Consider the following 19,414-nt stretch of genomic DNA (forward strand, 5'->3'; position numbering starts at 1 on the left):
TGATACATGAAATGGTTTCATAGATATTTTTTCTTTTAGGTCATTTATGCTCTATTTAAAATGGAGATTACATGTGTCTGAGAATTGTTCCCCAGTCCTTCAGCTTGTTTTACTGAGTGGTTAGATTCGAAGTAAAAAGTTTAGGCTAATCTTTAATAATTCAGCGCTCTGGTTCTTTAGGGGTATTTTTTGTTATTTAATTGTACCTTAAAAATTCTTTTTTATTCTGTTAATATCTCCTGTTTGCTTATACTTCCTATTTTAGTTCATCTTTCACTATTAAGTTTTCTTGTTCTTACTGTTATCAGGTGATAAATAGTTAATATCAGGGCCCCAAGTTATTAGGTTCATTAGTGATCGGTATCTTAGTCTCAGTTTTCTTTTTCCTTTCTGTTTTTTTTTTAGATGGAGTTTCGCGCTTGTTGCCCAGGCTGTGGTGCAGTGGCATGATTGGCTCACTGCAACCTCCGCCTCCCAGGTTCAAGCGATTTCCTCGCCTCAGCCTCCCGAGTAGCTGGGACTACAGGCGCGTACCACCACACCCGGCTAATTTTTTGTATTTTTGGTAGAGACGGGATTTCCCCATGTTGGCCAGGCTGGTCTCGAACTCCTGACCTCAGGTGATTCACCCATCTCCACCCCACAAAGTGCTGGGATTACAGGCGTGAGCCACCGCACCCGGTCTTCCTGTTTTTTTTTTTTTTTTTTTTTTTTTTTAATTGTAACTGAAGTTTTTTTTATCTGAAGGAATTCTGGTTGTTGGACTTATGACCTAAGATAAATTTATGGAGACAAGGAAAACAAAATATATATATTTGTGCTTTTCATAGCCATGAGTCAAATTTATATGTTTATATTGATCATTCCTTTAAGCTTTAACATGTAGGAAATACTTTTTTCCCAGGTGATGAACAGCAGTCTTATACTCAGACTCTTTGTTCATTGAGGAGTCTTTTCATCCATATTTCCCCCTTTGTATTCCAAGAAAACCAAGAACTGGTGTTCCATGACAGAATTATTCCCCGAGGCATCCATTGTATATTATAAATTAGTTTCTCCCCTGCACATCTAGAAAGATATTAGTTAGGTATCATTCTTGGGAGACTTCAGGAATAGTCACTGAAGTCATTTTCTGAGTTCTGTAGTCAAGTCATTTTCTGAGTTCTGTAGTTAACATGAGGAACACTGGTTGAGAAAGGCTGCTAGAATATTAAGGGACTTGGTTTGGCACTAAATAAAGTTTTACTTTTCACTGTCACTTTCCTGTTAGTAACTCTAATATGGCCTCTATTAAAATTCGTGATACAATGTGAATGCTGTTGATACTGCTATTGCTGTGGGATAAATTGGTTAGTGTTGATTTCAAGCAGTTAGTGCTGCTTAGTTGTTTGAAAGAATTTAATGTGGGACATTAAATGCATCATTTTATTTATAAGAAGGAATATTGTGGGAGCACTGTTCATTATACAGTTCAAAATCTATAAAAAGTCACTGACAGTGACTAACATGAACAAGAACTAATACTAACTGAACTCTTACCATATGCCAGATACTCTTAAAAATGCTTTGTGTGTATTAGCTTACTTTATCTTAGTAACTCTATGAGGTAGGATGACCATATGATTTATTGTTCAAGCCAGGATACTTTTGAACGTGAAAGGGATTGCTTCTTGGCCTTTTGGCTAAGATCAAGGGAAGAGTGAGTGAAAGGGGGCACTCACTGAATGGCATGCTGAGATAATAGCAGAAACTAGGACTGTTTGAGAGAAAGGATGTGTGATGACCCTAATTAATACCTTCTTTTTCAGAAGAAACTGAAGCATAGGGAGACCAAATAACTTGCCCACTTAGTAAGCGGTAAGAAGGGATTTAAAACCTCTGTAGAGGCTGGGCGCGGTGGCTCATGCCTGTAATCCCAGCACTTTGGGAGGCCGAGGCAGGTGGACCACCTGAGGTCAGGAGTTCGAGCCAGCCTGGCCAATATGGTGAAACCCCGTCTCTACTAAAAATATAAAAATTAGCCAGGTGTGGTGGCATGTGCCTGTAATCCCAGCTTCTTGGGAGGCTGAGGTAGGAGAATTGCCTGAAGCTGGGGGTAGAGGTTACAGTGAGCTGAGATTGCGTCACTGCACTCCAGCCTGGGCAACAGAGCAAGACTCTTGTCTCTAAAATAAAATAAAACCTGTAGAGATTTCTATGGGAATGAAAGTGATTTAAATTATTTTAAATTGCCATATTCTGGGAGTTTGTTTACTTTTACCCTTTTGGGGGAGTTTTTGTTGGTACATGGTCAATAGTAAAAAGACAAGATAGTGTTTTTTAAAATCCAGGAGAATTTCCACTTGGATTTTTTTCAAGTGGCTGTTAGACTGAGGTGATTATATTGTCTTAATGTTGAAAAGCAACTTTCCTGAGGGCCACCTAAGTTAAAACAAAACTCTAAGATAACGACATCTGAGTTTGTTTTCCGTATGTATTATTCAGGTTCCCTTTACCATTTTCTTAGGCAGAAATGTGGATTGTAGAAATTTTTACTGAGAAGACAGTAGAAAGAAGATGAATACTTTTGTGACTAGGGAGAAGTGTTACTAGAAAAGAAAGAAAAAGGTCCAGTTTAGAGACTTTTGAAGGTAAACTGATTCTGTAGCATAGTTTGAGAGTTAAGTCTTGTAGAGATTAATATGTCATTTCATAAAAAATATCCCTCTTTTATTGTGATTTTTAAAGCTATTTTATATTTCTGGCCTGTTTATGCTTGTGCTGTCACCTGAAAAAATATTACTGGTGAATTCAAATGTGGAGAAATGATTTTGGCACAGTTGTGGAAACAACTATATTGTAAACTAAGATCTTTTTTTTTCCTTTGAGTGGGAGTGAATGGTAGTATCTGATCTTAAGGAGACTTCCAGTTTTGTTTTCATACTTGGCTATTTTAATAGTTCATTGAGTAATTTGTGTTTTTTTTTTTCCCTCTAGCTAGTTGACGTTTGGAGGTTTTGTTGGTGTAACTATCATTTTTTTTTTTTCTTTTTTTTTGAGGTGGAGTCGCCCAGGCTGGAGTGCAGTGGCGCAATCTCAGCTCACTGCAAGCTCCACCTCCGGGGTTCACGCCATTCTCCTGCCTCAGCCTCCCGAGTAGCTGGGACTACAGGCGCCTGCCACCATGGCCGGCTAATTTTTTTGTATTTTTAGTAGAGACGGGGTTTCACCGTGTTAGCCAGGATGGTCTTGATCTCCTGACCTCGTGATCCGCCCGCCTCGGCCTCCCAAAGTGCCGGGATTACAGGCGTGAGCCACCGCGCCCGGCCAATTTTTAAGGTCTTTTATTTAGTTCATTGAAACCATTATGAGACAAGATATAGCTTGAAGGGGGACTGCATTTCTCACCAGATGAAGGAATTTGTGGCCTGTGTAGTGACTACGGGAGACAAAAGGTTATTTTGAGGAGATTTGATTTATTATATAAGATTAATGGGCTGGGCTAGGTGGCTCATGCCTGTATTCCCAGCACTTTGGGAGGCTGAGGCTGGTGGATCACTTGAGCTCAGGAGTTCAAGACCAGTCTGGGCAACATGGTGAAACTCCCCCCCTCTACCAAAAATACAAAAAAAAAAAAAAAAAAAAAAAAAGAACCGAATCAGCCTGGCGTGGTGGCGCTCACCTGTGGTCTCAGCTACTCAGGAGGCAGAGGTGGGAGGATCACTTGAGCCTGGGAGGCGGAGGTTGCAGTGAGCTGAGATTGTGACATTGTACTCCAGCCTGGGTGATAGAGTGAGACCCCCACTCAAAAGAGAAAAAAAACAGTAGTAAAATAAAATAAAAAAAAAATGCAGTTGGATTTTAAATACTATATTGCTGGTTTTTAAGCTGGGGTCCATGAATGGGATGGAGATTTGTGAACCCTCTCAAATTATGTACAAACTGTATACATGCATTTCATCAGTTTCTCTAGGGCTCATTGTTAAAATCAGCTGGTATTTAAAGTACTTATGGGGGACCGGGTGCGGTAGCTCATCATGCCTGTAATCCCAGCACTTTGGGAGGCTGAGGCAGGCAGATCATGAGGTCAGGAGATCGAGACCATCCTGGCCAACACGGTGAGACCCCGTCTCTACTAAAATAACAAAAAATTAGCCGGGCATGGTGGCGCGTGCCTGTAGTCCCAGCTACTCGGGTGGCTGAGGCAGGGGAATTGCTTGAACCCGGGAGGCTGAGATTGCAGTGAGCCGAGATCGTGCCACAGCACTCCAGCCTGGCAACAGAGTGAGACTCTGTCTCAAAAAAAAAAAAAAAAAAAATAGACTGGGCGCGGTGGCTCACACCTGTAATCCCAGCACTTTGGGAGGCTGAGGTGGGCAGATCACCTGAGGTCAGGAATTCAAGACTAGCCTGAGCAATGTGGAGAAACCCCATCTCTACTAAAAATGCAAAATTAGCTGGGTGTGGTGGTGCATGCCTGTAGTCCCAGCTATTCGGGAGGCTGAGGCAGGAGAATTGCTTGAACCTGGGAGGTGGAGGTTGCAGTGAGCTGAGATCACGCCATTGCACTCCAGCCTGGACAACAAGAGTGAAACTCCCTCTCAAAAAAAAAAAAAAGTACCTATGAAAGATGGGATATACAATGGTAAACTAGATTACATAGTCTCTGCCCTTAGGGGAATATAGTCAGTTGGACTTTGTCACTACAGAAGGGTTAAAAAAATACCTATTAAAATACCGTGTATTGGGTTTACATTAAAGAATATTGGGCTAAAACCAGCCATCAATGCAGTTTTGGCACTGTGTTCCTAATGTGAGATTAGTGACATACTGAAAAATTAGGGCTGCACTGAAAAACTTCAGGGAAAAATAACAACTGAGAAAACAAGCAGAACAACCGAGGGCTTTAATGTAGCCTTGGAATGCTTCAGTCTTTGGCAGTTGTTAATAAACAAAGTTAAAAGAGCCCATGATCATCTTTTCTTTTCTTTTTTCTTTTTTTTTTTTTTGAGACGGAGCCTTACTCTGTTGGCCAGGCTGGAGTGTAGTGGCACAATCTTGGCTTACTGAAACCTCCACCTCCTGAGTTCAAGTGATTCTCCTGCCTTAGCCTCCCAAGTAGTTGGGATTACAGGCACCCGCCACCAGGCCTGGCTAATTTTTGTATAGAGAAAGGGTTTCACTGTGTTGGCCAGGCTTGTATCGAACTCCTGAGCTCAAGTGATAACACCCGTCTTGGCCTCCCAAAGTGCTGGGATTACAGGCATGAGCTACCGTGCCTGGCCCCATGATCATCTTATATATGCAGTTACTGTTATCCAAAGGTTGATACCTTCTTTTTTTTTTTTTTTTTTTGAGATGGAGTCTCGCTCTGTCGCCCAGACTGGAGTGCAGTGGCGTGATCTCGGCTCACTGCAACCTCTGCCTCCTGGGTTCAGGCGATTCTCCTGCTTCAGCCTCTTGAGTAGCTGGGATTACAGGTGCATGCCACCACGCCTGGCTAATTTTTGTATTTTTAGTACAGATGGGGTTTCACCATATTTGTGAGGCTGGTCTCGAACTCCTGATGTAGTGATCCGCCCGCCTTGGCCTCCCAAAGTGCTGGGATTACAGGCATGAGCCACCACACCCGGCCTAGTATTTGATTTTCATTACATTCACTCACCCACACACTCATCATATAAAATGATTGAGGTTTGGTATACTTGAAGTATTTTCATTTCAGGATTGGGATATATGATAACCTCTTTCCTTAGATTTCCAATCTTTTTTTCCTTTCAAAAGCAAGGGTAATTTTTACAGTCACCAGTGTGTCTACTGCCTTGTACCTAATTTGCAAACTTTATGGTGGCTAGAATGTTATTACAAAGAACATGTTTGATATCTTCTTACTAAAATAGAGGCATTTTTTGTAGTCTAAAGAAATAGTATATATATAAAGATAGGAAAATGAACCTTTGAGAATTTCCCTTCTACACTATTAAAAAGAAGAAGATAAAATGTAGGAAATATTATTAGCAAAACCATAATATTTTTCCTTTGGGATATGTCCCTCCCTGTTTCCACCACTCATTCAGTCCAAAAGACATTCCTCAGACTTTACTCCTGGCAGGAGAATTGAGGAAGTGGTGGTAGTCATGGTTGGCAGAGAAGCAGAAGCATGAAGGTATGTTTTTGAAAAGCAAACTTGTCAATGACAAATGGATTTTTCCAGTTGTGAGTATACGTACTTTTTTTTGAGCCAGAGTTTCGCTCTTGTTGCCCAGGCTGGAGTGCAATGGCGTGATCTCAGCTCACCGGCAACCTCCGCCTCCTGGGTTCAAGCGATTCTCCTGCCTCAGCCTCCTGATTAGCTGGGATTACAGGCATGTGCCACCATGTCCGGCTAATTTTGTACTTTTAGTAGAGATGGGGGTTTCTCCATGTTGGTCAGGCTGGTCTCGAACTCCCAACCTCAGGTGATCCGCCCACCTTGGCCTCCCAAAGTGCTGGGATTACAGGCATGAGCCACCATGCCCTGCGGAATATGTACTTTTTGAGTTTTGATTAAATATCAGTGCATAAAGTGCTACTGTTCATTGAGGAATATTTAGTAGTTATATTCATATTTGGGTATTCTGAATATACTTGAAAAATTTCAGAAGGATCATTTGGACAATATGGGATTTTATTAGAAAAGTTCCTATAGTAGGACATTTGTTCCTAATCCTTTTAAGTTAGACTGAAGCAGTTTTCTAAGTTACTATGGAAAAATAGGTTTCTGCCGGGAGCAGTGGCTCACACCTATAATCCCAACACTTTGGGAGGCAGAGGTAGGAGCCCAGGAGTTCCAGACCGGCCTGGGCAACAGAGCGAGACCCTGTCTCTACCAAAAATTCAAAAATTAGCCAGGCATGGCAGTGTACATCTGTAATCTCAGCAACTTGGGAGGCTGAGATGGGAGGATTACTTGAGCCCAGGAGGTTGAGGCTGCAGTGAGCCAAGGTCGTGCCACTGCACTCCAACCTGGGTGACAGTAGTGACCTTTTCTCTTAAAAAAAAATTTAAAAAGATGAAATTAAATTTTAAAAAAGAAAGATTTGTAACTGGAGGCAATTGTGTGTGCATATATGTATAAATATATAGTATTTGAATGTACAATATTGGCAAATATCCAGATTTATCTCATAGCAAGATTAACCTTTTCAGTCTAGGAACTGTTTTCATCTGATTTTGAATCCTTGTTTCATTGTGCAGTATATATTATACAGGTTCTCAAATGGTAATTGAATTGAAACCTTCGTTTTTTTTTAAAGAAATGTAAACCTGCATTATAATTGCATTATTGGTATTCATATTTAAAAGCTGCATATTGGAAGAAAAATAGTTTCCCATAGTTGGTTTTACATTAATGATAAAGTTTGTATCGACAGGATACCACTTACAGCATCTTCTTACTATATGACAAGTTGTACTAGGCTCCCTAACATTTAATTTTTTGTTTCTCACAACAACCCTATTGAGGTTGTTTACTGAGGTTCAGAATTGTTAGAGACTTGCCCAAGATCACTTAGCTAATAAGTGGCCAAGCTTACTTTTTGAATCCAATTCTGCCTAATTCCAGAACACTCCTTTACATGGTGATACACTGCCTCCCAGTGGGATGATTTATAGATTTCATAGTGATACTTTCTTTGGGGAAAGAGAATATAAAGGATACAAGAACTCTAAATGGAAAAGACAGAGGAGGAAGTTAAACTTCTCATAGTGGTCAGGAACCTTTTGGGGGATTAAGTAGGAGGAAAGCTTATTTTCAGCTGAGAGCTGATGGATGTTTGAAGTTGCATGTGATATGTGTCATGTTTTATAATAAACATCAAGTAGCAACTAGAAAAGGCTTAGCGGCAGGGAGATGATAAAGTTTCTTACACTGTAGTGATGATAAAGTTTCTTACACTGTACTGATGATAAAGTTTCTTATACTGTACTGTTTTAATCTTGAGTAAAGTGACATCTGAATTAATTTTAAGGAATTAACCTTTATAGAAAATAAACTGAAACAAAATGTTAATCTAAAGCATTGTCTCCATAGGTAGTGTTCCCACCAAAGAACAATAATTCTAATAAGAATAATCTGTTCAGGTAAACTGGTCTAAGTCAGGCAGCATTATGATTCCAGTTTGTGTTTTGGTTTTCATATTCCACTAGCCTCCCTTTTCTGCTGTTTTTTTTCCCCCCCTCCGGTATCTTTACAGTTTCTGTAGTTCTTCATAAAAAGTAGAAATGTTTTGATGGCGATTTCCTTATTTTACTTTTATGCTGTTACTGCTAACAGTAGACAGCCTTATTTGTGAGGCACTGAAATAGAAGTGATTTCAAAAATTAATCCATTTCGTGACTCAGAAACATTTCCTTTAAAAATAATGAAAAAAAATAGAAAAATTAGTCCATTTAAATTTCCCTACAAGCCTGTGAGGTGTTGATGCTATTATTATTTTCTGTTTGTGTGTGAGGAAACGGAGGCATAGTGAGCTTAAACTTTTTCTAAGCACACACATACTTAGGAAGTGTTGGAGCCTTAATGTGAACCCAGGCAATCTGGTTCCCAAGTGTTTTTTTTTTTTTTTTTTTTTTTTTTTGAGATAGGGTCTCATTCTGTTGCCCAGGGTGGAGTGCAAGTGGCACTATCATGGCTCACTGCAGCCTTGACTTTCTGGGCTCAAGCGGTACTCTTACCTCAGCCTCCTGAGTAACTGGGACTACAGGTGCATGCCACCAAGCCCAGCTTATTTTCATATTTTTTGCAGAGATGGGGTCTTAACCATATTGCTTAGGCTGGTTTTGAACTCGTGGGCTCAAGCCACCTGGCCGCTTTGGCCTCCCAAGTGTTGGGATTGCAGGCGTGAACCACCGTGCCTGGCCACTACTGAGTTCTTTTTTTTTTTTTTTTTTTAACTTTTAAGTTGAGAGGTACATGTGCAGGATGTGCAGGTTTGTTAACATAGGTAAACCTGTGGTTTGCTGCACAGATCATCCCATCACCTAGGTATTAAGCCCAGTTTCCATTAGCTATTCTTCCTGATGCTCTTCCCCCACTCCCACAGGCCCCATTGTGTGTTGTTTCCCCCCATATGTCCATGTGTTCTCATCATTCAGCTCCCACTTATAAGTGAGAACATGTGGTGTTTGGTTTTCTGTTCCTGAGTTCTTAATGCTACACTACCATACTGCTGATCAGTGGACAATAATGTGAGTGGTTTCTTCATCTTGGCAGTGTACTTTTAAGTCCTCTATTTAATTGTGGAGTATGTTTGTGCATCCTTATAGGAATTTTAGGAGATAGCAGAGGATTGGGCAAATCTTTGATCCTCAAGATTCCCCAGCTGTACAATAGGTGTAATCCCATTTGCCTTATAGGTTATTTATAGAGACTATATAGTAATACAGGTTGAGCATCCCAAATCCAAAATCTTCCAAAATCTGAAACCTTTTAAGCACCCACGTGATGCTCCAAAGAAATGTTCATTGGAACATTTTGGATATGGGATGCTCAACTGGTAAGTATAATACAAATAATCCCAAATCCAAACAATATTAATATTTGGATTTTGGAATATTTATGTTTGAAACACTTTTGGTCCCAAGCATTTTGGATAAGGGATACTCAACCTGTACTTTTTCTGGGATTTTTCTGTGTGCCAGATAATAGGCTGAGGGTTTTGCTGGCATGGTAGGCCCCCCAGATAGCTCAGTAATTCCATTTATTGAGTACATTCCATGTGTCAGATACTTGAGGTAATATACTACCTTTAGTTATTACATGATAGGGGATATTATACCCATTTTATGGATGAGAAAACTGAACCTAAAGAAATTCAGTAATTTGCTCAAATAGGTTTTTACTTTGCGGCCTTTGTACTTGTTGATCCCTCTGCCTGGCTTGGTTTCTCATTTCTCTAGGATATTTTGCTCAAATATTACCCTTTCAGTGGAACGTTCCTTGGCCATCTCATTAAAATAATATCCCTTGCTTTGCCAGCCCTCCTTTTTCAGTTTATTTTGCTTAATATTACCATCAAACATACATTTACATGAGTTGTCTCTTTCCCCACTCTAGAATGTTAAGTGAGAGGAAGGATATTTGTCAGCCGCCTTTATATTGCTTTAACCCCAGCACCTAGAACAGTGCTTGGAGTGTAGTAAGTATTTAATATTTGTTGAGCTAATGTTTATGTGGCATCCAGGGATACACTGGACTTATTTGCAAGCTGATCCTGAAGTAAACTAATTTCATATTTAACAGACCAAAATGGGCATTCCTTAGAAGTGAAATGCTGTGGCAGGTGTTTGGGCCTGTTTTGGGTGGGGGTTGGGAGGCAGTTGAGTCTCCTGTAGTTTTTAGAGGCCTATTCTCATGAATTGCCTTGAGTTCCAGGAGGAGTATATGCCTTCAGCTCAGCTTCTAGGTTCTGTAGAGCCTTTTATCTATTAGTACAGGTCTCTTAAAGCTGCTGCTTCTTACTTAACTTGCAACCCCTCATTTTGCCCAAAGATTCTTTGAGTGACCATTTATAGTGTATTTGTGATGATCACAGCATAGAGCTTGATGTGAAGCAGAGGGTTAGCTTTGAACAGGGGGATCCTAGCTTTGCCATTTATAACTTAGTAGGAGATAACATAGCATACATATGTACATTTCTAGATAGATACATATGTGTGTATATTTTAAAAATGCATTGTGCTGAAACTTTCAATAATTAGGTTTTGGTTAATATTTAATATTTTGATAGCACATAGTTTTTTCTGACATCTTGGAATGCATACCCTTTTTGTTTCTGCTTCTCAAAACATTTCTTGCAATAATGTGTGTAGTTGGAACATAGTAGTAATAATATTTTACTGTACTCTTGCATCCAAATGCAAGCTGATTTTGGAGAGAAAGAGACATTGGATTTTAGATACTTCAACCTTAAGTTGATATTATGTAACTGTGGTTCAGCAGAGATAAGAGCAGGAGATTTTTTTGGGATCATTATGCATAGTGTACATTGGCTTTTGGTGGGGGTACTTAGAATTAAAGAGCCGGAGGGTCAGAGGTGAAAACATCATGCTTAACTTGGCAGGAGGAAGAAGTAGGATCACTGATAAGAGTGGTCAAAGAGGTAGGAGAAAATTTAGGATAATGTAGCATACAATCCATAAGCATCTCAAATTTGAAAAGAATCCAGATGGCATGTTCTCCCATCTGGGAGATGCTTTTAAATTGTATACAGTATAAAAACTGTTCTTCCAATTATGTCAAGTTAAAATTATCTTTAAAGCTGATATGATCAACAATTATCCTTATGTAGATTGTTTCCTTTGTCGCATCTCATGGGAATTGGGTTCTTCTCCCACACTGGGTCCCAGGTTACAAATAATAGGTTTAAGCTGGGAAGTGGTCAGGGACAGGAAGGGAGGGCATATTTGGCTTTATTGAATTCTACAAAGTCAAATAGAATTGTATTGGAATTATTTTACATGCAACATTGGTATTAGTGTGGCTGATCAAAGAATTGATTGTACTTAAATATGCAAATAGTATTAGGATAATACAATACTGCAATTTGATGTCCTCTTCAAAATAGCTCTGAAAAATATGATTGGAATTTCTGGAGTCTATTTTGAAAAGGAAAACTTTTTTTTTCTTTTTTCCTTCTGTACTTCATGTGAAATAAGTGTGTAGGCAACTACTTTAGTTTCTTTAAGTTTTGTGTAAAAGCTAACTTGGGTAGAAATAATGCTGGAGATGAGTATCTTATAAAAATCACTTCATTTTTCTGCTTCTTGAGAGAATATTTTACAGGGAAATTATTATCAATATGAAAAATGACTCATAATTCTACTTTTCTCATTCCAGAAGTTTTTTTTCTTAATTTTGGTAAAATATATATAAAATTTGCCATTGTAACCATTTTAAGTATACAGTTCAGTGGCATTGAGAACATTTACGTTGTTGTGCAACCATTGTCACCATTCATACCCAGAATTTTTTTACTATCTCATAATAAAACTGTACCCATTAAACAATAGGGCCCTGTTCCTCCCTCCCTCCCTCGCTCCCTCCCACCTCCCAGCCCCTGGTAATCACTGTTCTTCTTTCTTTATATTTGACTATTCTAAGTATTTCATGTAAGTGGAATGATACAAAATTTGTTCTTTGTGGCTATTTCATTTAGCATGTATTCCAGGTGATACATGTTGTAACGTTTATCAGAATTCATTCCTTTTTAAAAGTGAATAATATTCCATTGTATGTATATACCATATTTTGCTTATCTACTCATCAGTTGACAGATGCTTGGGTTACTTATACCTTTTGGCTATTATAGGCATTATTCAAGCATGAATAATGGTGACAGGAACATTGGTGTACAAATATCTGTTCAAGTCACTGCATTCGATTCTTTTGTGTATATACCCAGAAGTGGAATTGCTCCACAAATATTTGAGTACCTAGTATATGGCAGGCACTGTGCTAAGCACTGGGGATGCAGCAGTGAAAAAGAGGGGCCTGGTTCTTGCCCTTATGGAATTTACAGTCTAGTAGGGAAAAAAGATGTTAAATAAGCAGTTGCAGTTAAGTGGGTTAAATGTTACAAAAACGTTAAGCACAGAGTGCCGTGTGTATGTTTCATATAATTGTAATAATATATATATGTTAAGCCAAAAGAGACTATAAAACATCAAATACTTTTTCCCCTTCCAATATAATCCCCTGCAGCACCTCACTACCCCTGGCCACCTACCACATGGAAATGTCTTCTGCTGCTTTTCTTCACATTTAAAAATGCAATGCCGCTGGGTGAGGTGGCTCACGCCTGTAATCCCAGCACTTTGGGAGGCTAAGGTGGGTGGATTGCTTGAGGCTAGGAGTTCCAGAAGAGACTGGGTAACAGCAAGACCCTGTCTCTACTAAAAAAAAAAAAAAAAAAGCCATAGTGGCATGTACCCACAGTCCTAGCTACTCGAGAAGCTGAGGCTGGAGGATCCCTTGCTCCCAGGAGTTTGAGGCTGCAGTGAGCTGTGGTCATACCACTGAACTCCAGCTTGGGTGGCAGAGTGAGACCCTGTCTTTAAAAAAAAGAAAATGCATCCAGAATTTACTTTTTTTGTTTTTTTGAGATGGAGTCTTGCTCTGTCACCCAGGCTGGAATGCAGTGGCACGATCGTGGCACGATCTTGGCTCACTGCAACTTTCGCACCACTGCAACCTCCACCTCCTGGGTTCAAGCGATTCTTGTGTTTTGGCCTTCTGAGTAGCTGGGATTACAGTGCCACCACGCCTGGCCAATTTTTGTATTTTTAGTAGAGATGGAGTTTCACCATGTTGGCCAGGCTGGTCTCGAACTCCTGACCTCAAGTGATCCGCCCACCTTGGCCTTCCAAAATGTTGAGATTATAGGCGTGAGCCACCGCACCCTGCCGGAATTTACTTTTGAATATGATGTGAGGCAGGGCTGTACACTTTAGTCTTTTTTTTTTTTTTTGCCTTTTTTTTTGCCCTTTTTTTTTTTTTTGCCGTATCATGAACCAAAACCAACTACTTTCCTTGTACATTTGTCTGTTTCTATATCCTCATTTTTAGGTAGCAATACTTCTATAAGTAGCTTTATCTTTTTCCCTATCTAATTGTGTCCAGCAGTTGGAATCACGCTGTCAGTCAGCATGAACATTTTTAAAGCTCTTGGTAACTGAAGTTATATTGTTTTCTAATAGGGTTGTACTGATTTTACAGTGCCATCAGTGCTGTGATACGTGGTAACCACATTTTCCCTGCTTCGGAGATGTTAAACAGTCCGTGCAGTTCCTCAGATTTCTTTAATTTGCATTTCTTTGATTACTAGCTGAAATTAATATTTCCCCTTGTTTTTCAGCAAGGTATTGTGAATGTGACTGACAAACTTAAGTTTAACCTGAGAGGGCCTTATAAATTATGAGTATACAGTAGTTTTTAGTAAATTACTGGCACTTTTTTTTTTTTAGTATTTAGATGTATCTACTTTTTTTAAATTGAGTTTGTGTATTTTGTAATGTCTGTTCACCTTATTTGTGGTTCTCCTAGTTCATTTCAATTTACTACTTAGGAAACCTGAAGTAATCTATCCATCCTCTTGTTTAGCCTAGTAGTGCTAAGTTGCATTCAGTGGATAGCCAATTCGTGGATGAGCTGAGTTCAAGTGTTTTGTAAATAGAGTATGAGAGAATCAGTGGGAAGAGCCCAGATTTTTTTTTCTTACTGTAGTGTAATCTTTTTAGCAGTGAAGCCTATAGTGAAATGAGATTTTTATTAGTAACTTAGCCTGCTTCTTGATAGTAATAGTTATTTATAGTCATGAGCCGGACGGATAAAGTAAAATTGGCTGTTTGACATAATTCTTTTGAAAAATAATTATATAATTGTATTTATCTTTATGCCAGGTGGTAGTAGTCTACATAAACTACTTCCAGGTAGGAAGTCCGCAGTATTCTCCTTTTGGGGATTTGTCAGTACCAAGGCATTGCAGAACCTATGGAAAAAGATATCCTTTATGATATCTGAGAATGTTCTGGACTAGCTAACTTTAGAGTGGTTAAAGAGACACTAACAACTTAGTGGTGAAAAATTTTCCAGGTGTAGAAAGAGAAGTTAGGGGCAAATAAAACATTGTATAGAGCAGTTAATTTTGTTTCCTTTAACCTGTGTCAGAAAAAGAATAATTTTCTTTTCTTTTCTTTTTTTTTTTTTTTTTTTTTGAGACGGGGTTTCGCTCTTGTTGCCCAGGCTGGAGTACAATGGCGCGATCTTGGCTCACTGCAACCTCTGCCTCCCAGGTTCAAGTGATTCGCCTGCCTCAGCCTTCCTGAGTAGCTGGGATTACAGGCATGCGCCACCATGCCCGGCTAATTTTGTGTTTTTAGTAGAGACGGGGTTCTCTATGTTGATCAGGCTGGTCCCGAACTCCCAACCTCAGGTGATTCGCTGGCCTCAGCCTCCCAAAGTGCTGGGATTACAGGCATGAAGCATCATGCCCGGCCAAAAGAATAATTTTCAAACATCCTTTATAGATTGACTTATTTAGGAAGATAGAATGTATTATTTATAGTTTTGCTGAAAATAATCATGCATGTTACATTACATTTAAATGCAGTGAATGGAGAGCCCTGTTCCCCTTTCAGCGTAATCATCTTGTTTTATTTTCATGCTAGCATTTACCAGTACTTGGTATTTTCTCATTTTTCTTCCCCCTCAATAGACTTTAAGCTCCATGGGGGCAAAAACTTCTCTCTTCAATGTTGTAAACATGGTGTCTCTAATAGTGCCTGATATATAGCAGGCTCTCAAGAAATATTTGTTGAATGATTTAATTTAGTGCTTTATCTGGATACTGATCAAAATATTTTATTTAATTTAAATTTTTTTTTGAGGTGAGGTCTCACTCTGTCACCGAGGCTGGAGTGATCTCAGTTCACTGCAGCTTCTGCCTCCCAGGGCTCAAGTGATCCTCCCACCTCAGCCTACGGAGTAGTTGGGCCCACAGGCACACGCCACCACACCTGGTTCATTTTTTGTATTTTTGGTAAAGGCAGGGCTTCACCATGTTGCTCAGGCTGGTCTCGAACTCCTGAGCTCAAGCAATCTGTCTGCCCTCCTTGGCCTCCCAAAGTGGTGTGATTACAGGCACAAGCCACCGTGCCCAGCTTCTGATTAAAATATTTATAAATAAATAAATTTAGTCTTAGTTGTGAATATAACTGCATTTCTGAACCTACCACTCAGATTCTTAAACATCAGTCTATGAAGCAGGAAAAAGTTTTGAGATCTGAGAGGCTTGTCAGTATTACTGTAGAATACAAGAAATTGGAGCCAAGGTTAAAAAATACAGTCTGAAGCTCATTAAATACTTTTTTTTTTGCTCTATTTAACTATGTCTGAACTCATTATTGGCATGTTTTCTTCTGATCAGTTGTCCTTACAAGTTAAGACAACCGTTTATTCCTTTTTTTTGAAACAAGGTCTCACTTTTTCACCCAGGCTGGAGTGCAGTGGTGTGATCACAGCTCATTGTAGCCTTGGCGTCCTGTGCCCAAGGGATCCTCCTGCCTTAGCCTCCTGAGTAGCTGGGACTACAGATGTCTGCCACCATGCCTGGCTAATATTTTTTATTTTTTGTAGAGATGGCGTCTTACTTTGTTCCCCAGGCTGGTCATTATGTGCTTTAATCAAATGTAATAGTAGCAATGATTCCACGATAGTTTTAGTTTGCATAGCACTTTCACTCTGTCTTCATCATAATAATGATCCTTTAGGGAGGGAGGTCTTATGGTATTTTTTATTTTTTATTTTTAGACACGATTTTGCTCTGTTGCCCAGACTGGAATACAGTAGCAAGACCACATAGCTCACTGCAACCTCAAACTCCTGGGCTCCAGTAATCCACCCCCTTCAGCCTCCTGAGTAGCTGGGATTACAGGCACGCTCTACCGTACCAGGCTAATTTTTTTTTTTTTTATTTTCGGTAGATACGAGGTCTTGCTATGTTGCCTAGGCTGGTCTCGAACTCCTGGGCTTAAGCCATCCTCCCTGCTCCACAGCCAGCCTCTTGTATTCATGCTACTTTACAAAGAAGGAATTAGCCTTTCAGAGGAGCTAAGAAACTTGGCCCAGGGTTACACAATTAGAATTAGTAATATGAACACTGGGACATATATCCTGTGTTCTCTGGTTCTGGTTCTGTGTTTTTTAGAACCATAGAATTTTAGAGGAGGAAGAAGCCTTGAAGAGTAGTACTCTAACCTCACATATATATATATCATATATATGTGTCATATATCATATATACATATATGATATATATCATGTATATATGCATGTATCTATATATACATATATGTATCATATATGTATATATGATATATATGATACATATGTGATACATATATGATATATAATATATGTATATATGTGTGTATATATGGGAAATATTTATTTACAAATATATATGATGTTAATATATATAATAAACTAACTTTATAAAGCTAATATGGCAGAGTTAGGATTCCAACCCAGGTCTCTTCCTTAGATCAGTCCTGTGATCTTTCTAATCTTCCATGTCTTTGATTCTGGAGATGTGTATGCTACCTGATGAAATGTCTGATAACAAAGGTATTTGAGTTTCTTAATAGTTTTCTGTCACATGTTTGTTCTTGTAATGGTGAATAGCTTCCAAAAACATTTGAATTTATTTTGAGGCAGCTTGGGATGGTGGAAAGAACTTATGCTTTAGAGACAAGTAGATTTAAGAGCACCTATGACACCTTTATTGACTGTGTGACCCTGTTGTTTACTAATCTGTAAAATGGGCAGAATATCATCTACCTTGAACTAAAACATAGTGTATTATGTTGAGTGTCTGACATAGAATGTGCTCGATAATGTTACCATTGTTTTAGAAAATGTTACAGAGATGAAATGTACTTCATTACAGTATAGAAAGGGACAACTAAGATGAAAAAACGTTTTGGAAAGCATTTGACCAAAGGTTTTATATCTGCATTCATACAGATTGATATGAATAACTTATGATTTTAAATGTTAGTGAACATTTTTTTTTTTTTAGAATATCTTTTTTGAAACAGGGCCTGCGCAGTTTTCTCTCAAACTTCTGGGCTCAAGCAATCCTCCCACCTCAGCCTTCTGAGTAGCTGGGACTGGAGGTGTGCGCCACCATGTCCAGCTACTTAAAAAAAAATTTTTTTTTTAATTTTTTTTAGACGGAGTCTCGCTCTGTCACCCAGGCTGGAGTGCAGTGGTGCGATCTCAGCTCACTGCAACCTCCACCCCCTGGGTTCAAGCGATTCTCCTGCCTTAGCCTCCTGAGTAGCTGGGATTACAGGTGTGCGCCACCATGCCCAGCTAATTTTTGTGTTTTTAGTACAGACGGGTTTCACCATGTTGGTCAGGCTGATCTCGAACTCCTGACCTCGTGATCCACCCACCTCAGCCTCCCAAAGTGCTGGGATTACAGGCGTGAGCCACCGTGGTGTCGCCCAGGCTGGAGTGCAATGGAGTGATGTCGGTTCACTGCAACCTCCGCCTCCCAAGTTCAGGCGATTCTCCTGCCTCACCCTCCTGAGTACCTGGGACTACAGGCATGCACCACCATGCCCGGCTAATTTTGTATTTTTAGTAGTGACGGGGTTTTGCCTTGTTGGCCAGGCTGGTCTCAAACTCCTGATCTCAGGTGATCTGCCTGCCTTGGCCTCCCAAAGTGCTGAGATTACAGGCGTGAGCCACCATGCCCGGCCTTTAAATTTTTTTGTAGCGACGATATCTCCCTGTGTTTCCCAGGCTAGACATCTATCATTTTAAGTTCTTCATAACTTTTCAAGGAATAGGTGCAAATCTCTGCATTTTACAAATAGAAAAAATTGTAGAGATGCATCTTGTCTTTAATCAAGAGCCCTAAAGTAAATCTACTTGGGTCTAATAATGAGAAAATAAGGGATAATTCAACATAAAATCTGTACATAGGAAGCGTTGTTAGTTATTACAATGAAGTGTTGGGGTCAGTCTTAATGTCTAATAATAAATGAGTAGATTATCACATCTGGTGGAATCTCATAAAACTATTAGAAGTTTGTATTATGAATATTACAGAAGTGCCTAGAAGTGCATATGGAGATGAAAAGTTGTGTACAATTGTATCCATTTTGTGGTTATAGTTTTGAAAAATCTACAAAGTCATACAGGCATATACATGTGGACAAAGGCTGGGAAGGAAAATGAAAATAGGTGATTTTTCAGGGTATTATAATGCTATGTGATTGTTCTGATTATTTTTAAAGATAATTTTGTGTAATAAAGAGGGAGAAAACCAAGATGATATATTTCCCATGTAGTGTGCACTGAAGAGCATTGGCATTAAAACAGTCAGGGGTTCCACCTAGATGATGTGGTTTATAGTATATTGTATCTTATACTTTGGGGGAATTTTAATAGTCTTGACTACTGGCTTTTAATTTTTTATTAGTAAACTTTTAGCATACTATCATTCAACCCATTGCATTTTACCATGGAGTTTCACTATTATTTTATTATTTTCTTCTTCTTCTTGAGAATTATGGCCACAATAAGTAGACTTGTATGTTATGTAAATAAATCTTAATGGACTTTTTTTTTTTGAGAATCTTCAACTTGGTGTCATTAAAGAAGCATTTTTAAGCCCGAGATATATGTTCCATTGCAGTATTATGAGGGAAATCATCCATTATAAACTTCTATGCCCATAGCTTTTTGTGTAGCTTGTCTTGTCAATCAGCAAAGCAAATACTTTACTGCTCTCTGCCTTCCAAATTACTTCATATATTTTATGGTTGATATACTTTATGGTATGTGTGTTCTTTTCTGTTTCATTGCTTCCATAAAAAAGACTGG

At 39.1% G+C, this 19,414-nt stretch overlaps 1 protein-coding gene across 32 annotated transcripts in view, besides 1 other annotated feature; it reads left to right on the forward strand.

Moving 5' to 3' along the window:
- The window catches only part of STAG2 (STAG2 cohesin complex component), a 142,097-nt gene that overhangs the window by 8,703 nt on the left and 113,980 nt on the right, over positions 1–19,414 (forward strand). The gene's annotated exons all lie outside the window — the stretch shown is intronic.
- Positions 17,669–17,871: a silencer, noted in NCBI's record as "fragment chrX:123120781-123120983 (GRCh37/hg19 assembly coordinates)". NCBI's record gives its function as "represses an EF-1alpha promoter that drives an FKBP-Casp9 reporter gene in an ReSE screen in K562 erythroleukemia cells {active_cell/tissue: K562}" and the evidence as "EXISTENCE:reporter gene assay evidence [ECO:0000049][PMID:32094911]".

This window comes from Homo sapiens, chromosome X, assembly GCF_000001405.40.
Source record: "Homo sapiens chromosome X, GRCh38.p14 Primary Assembly".
NCBI lineage: Eukaryota > Metazoa > Chordata > Mammalia > Primates > Hominidae > Homo > Homo sapiens.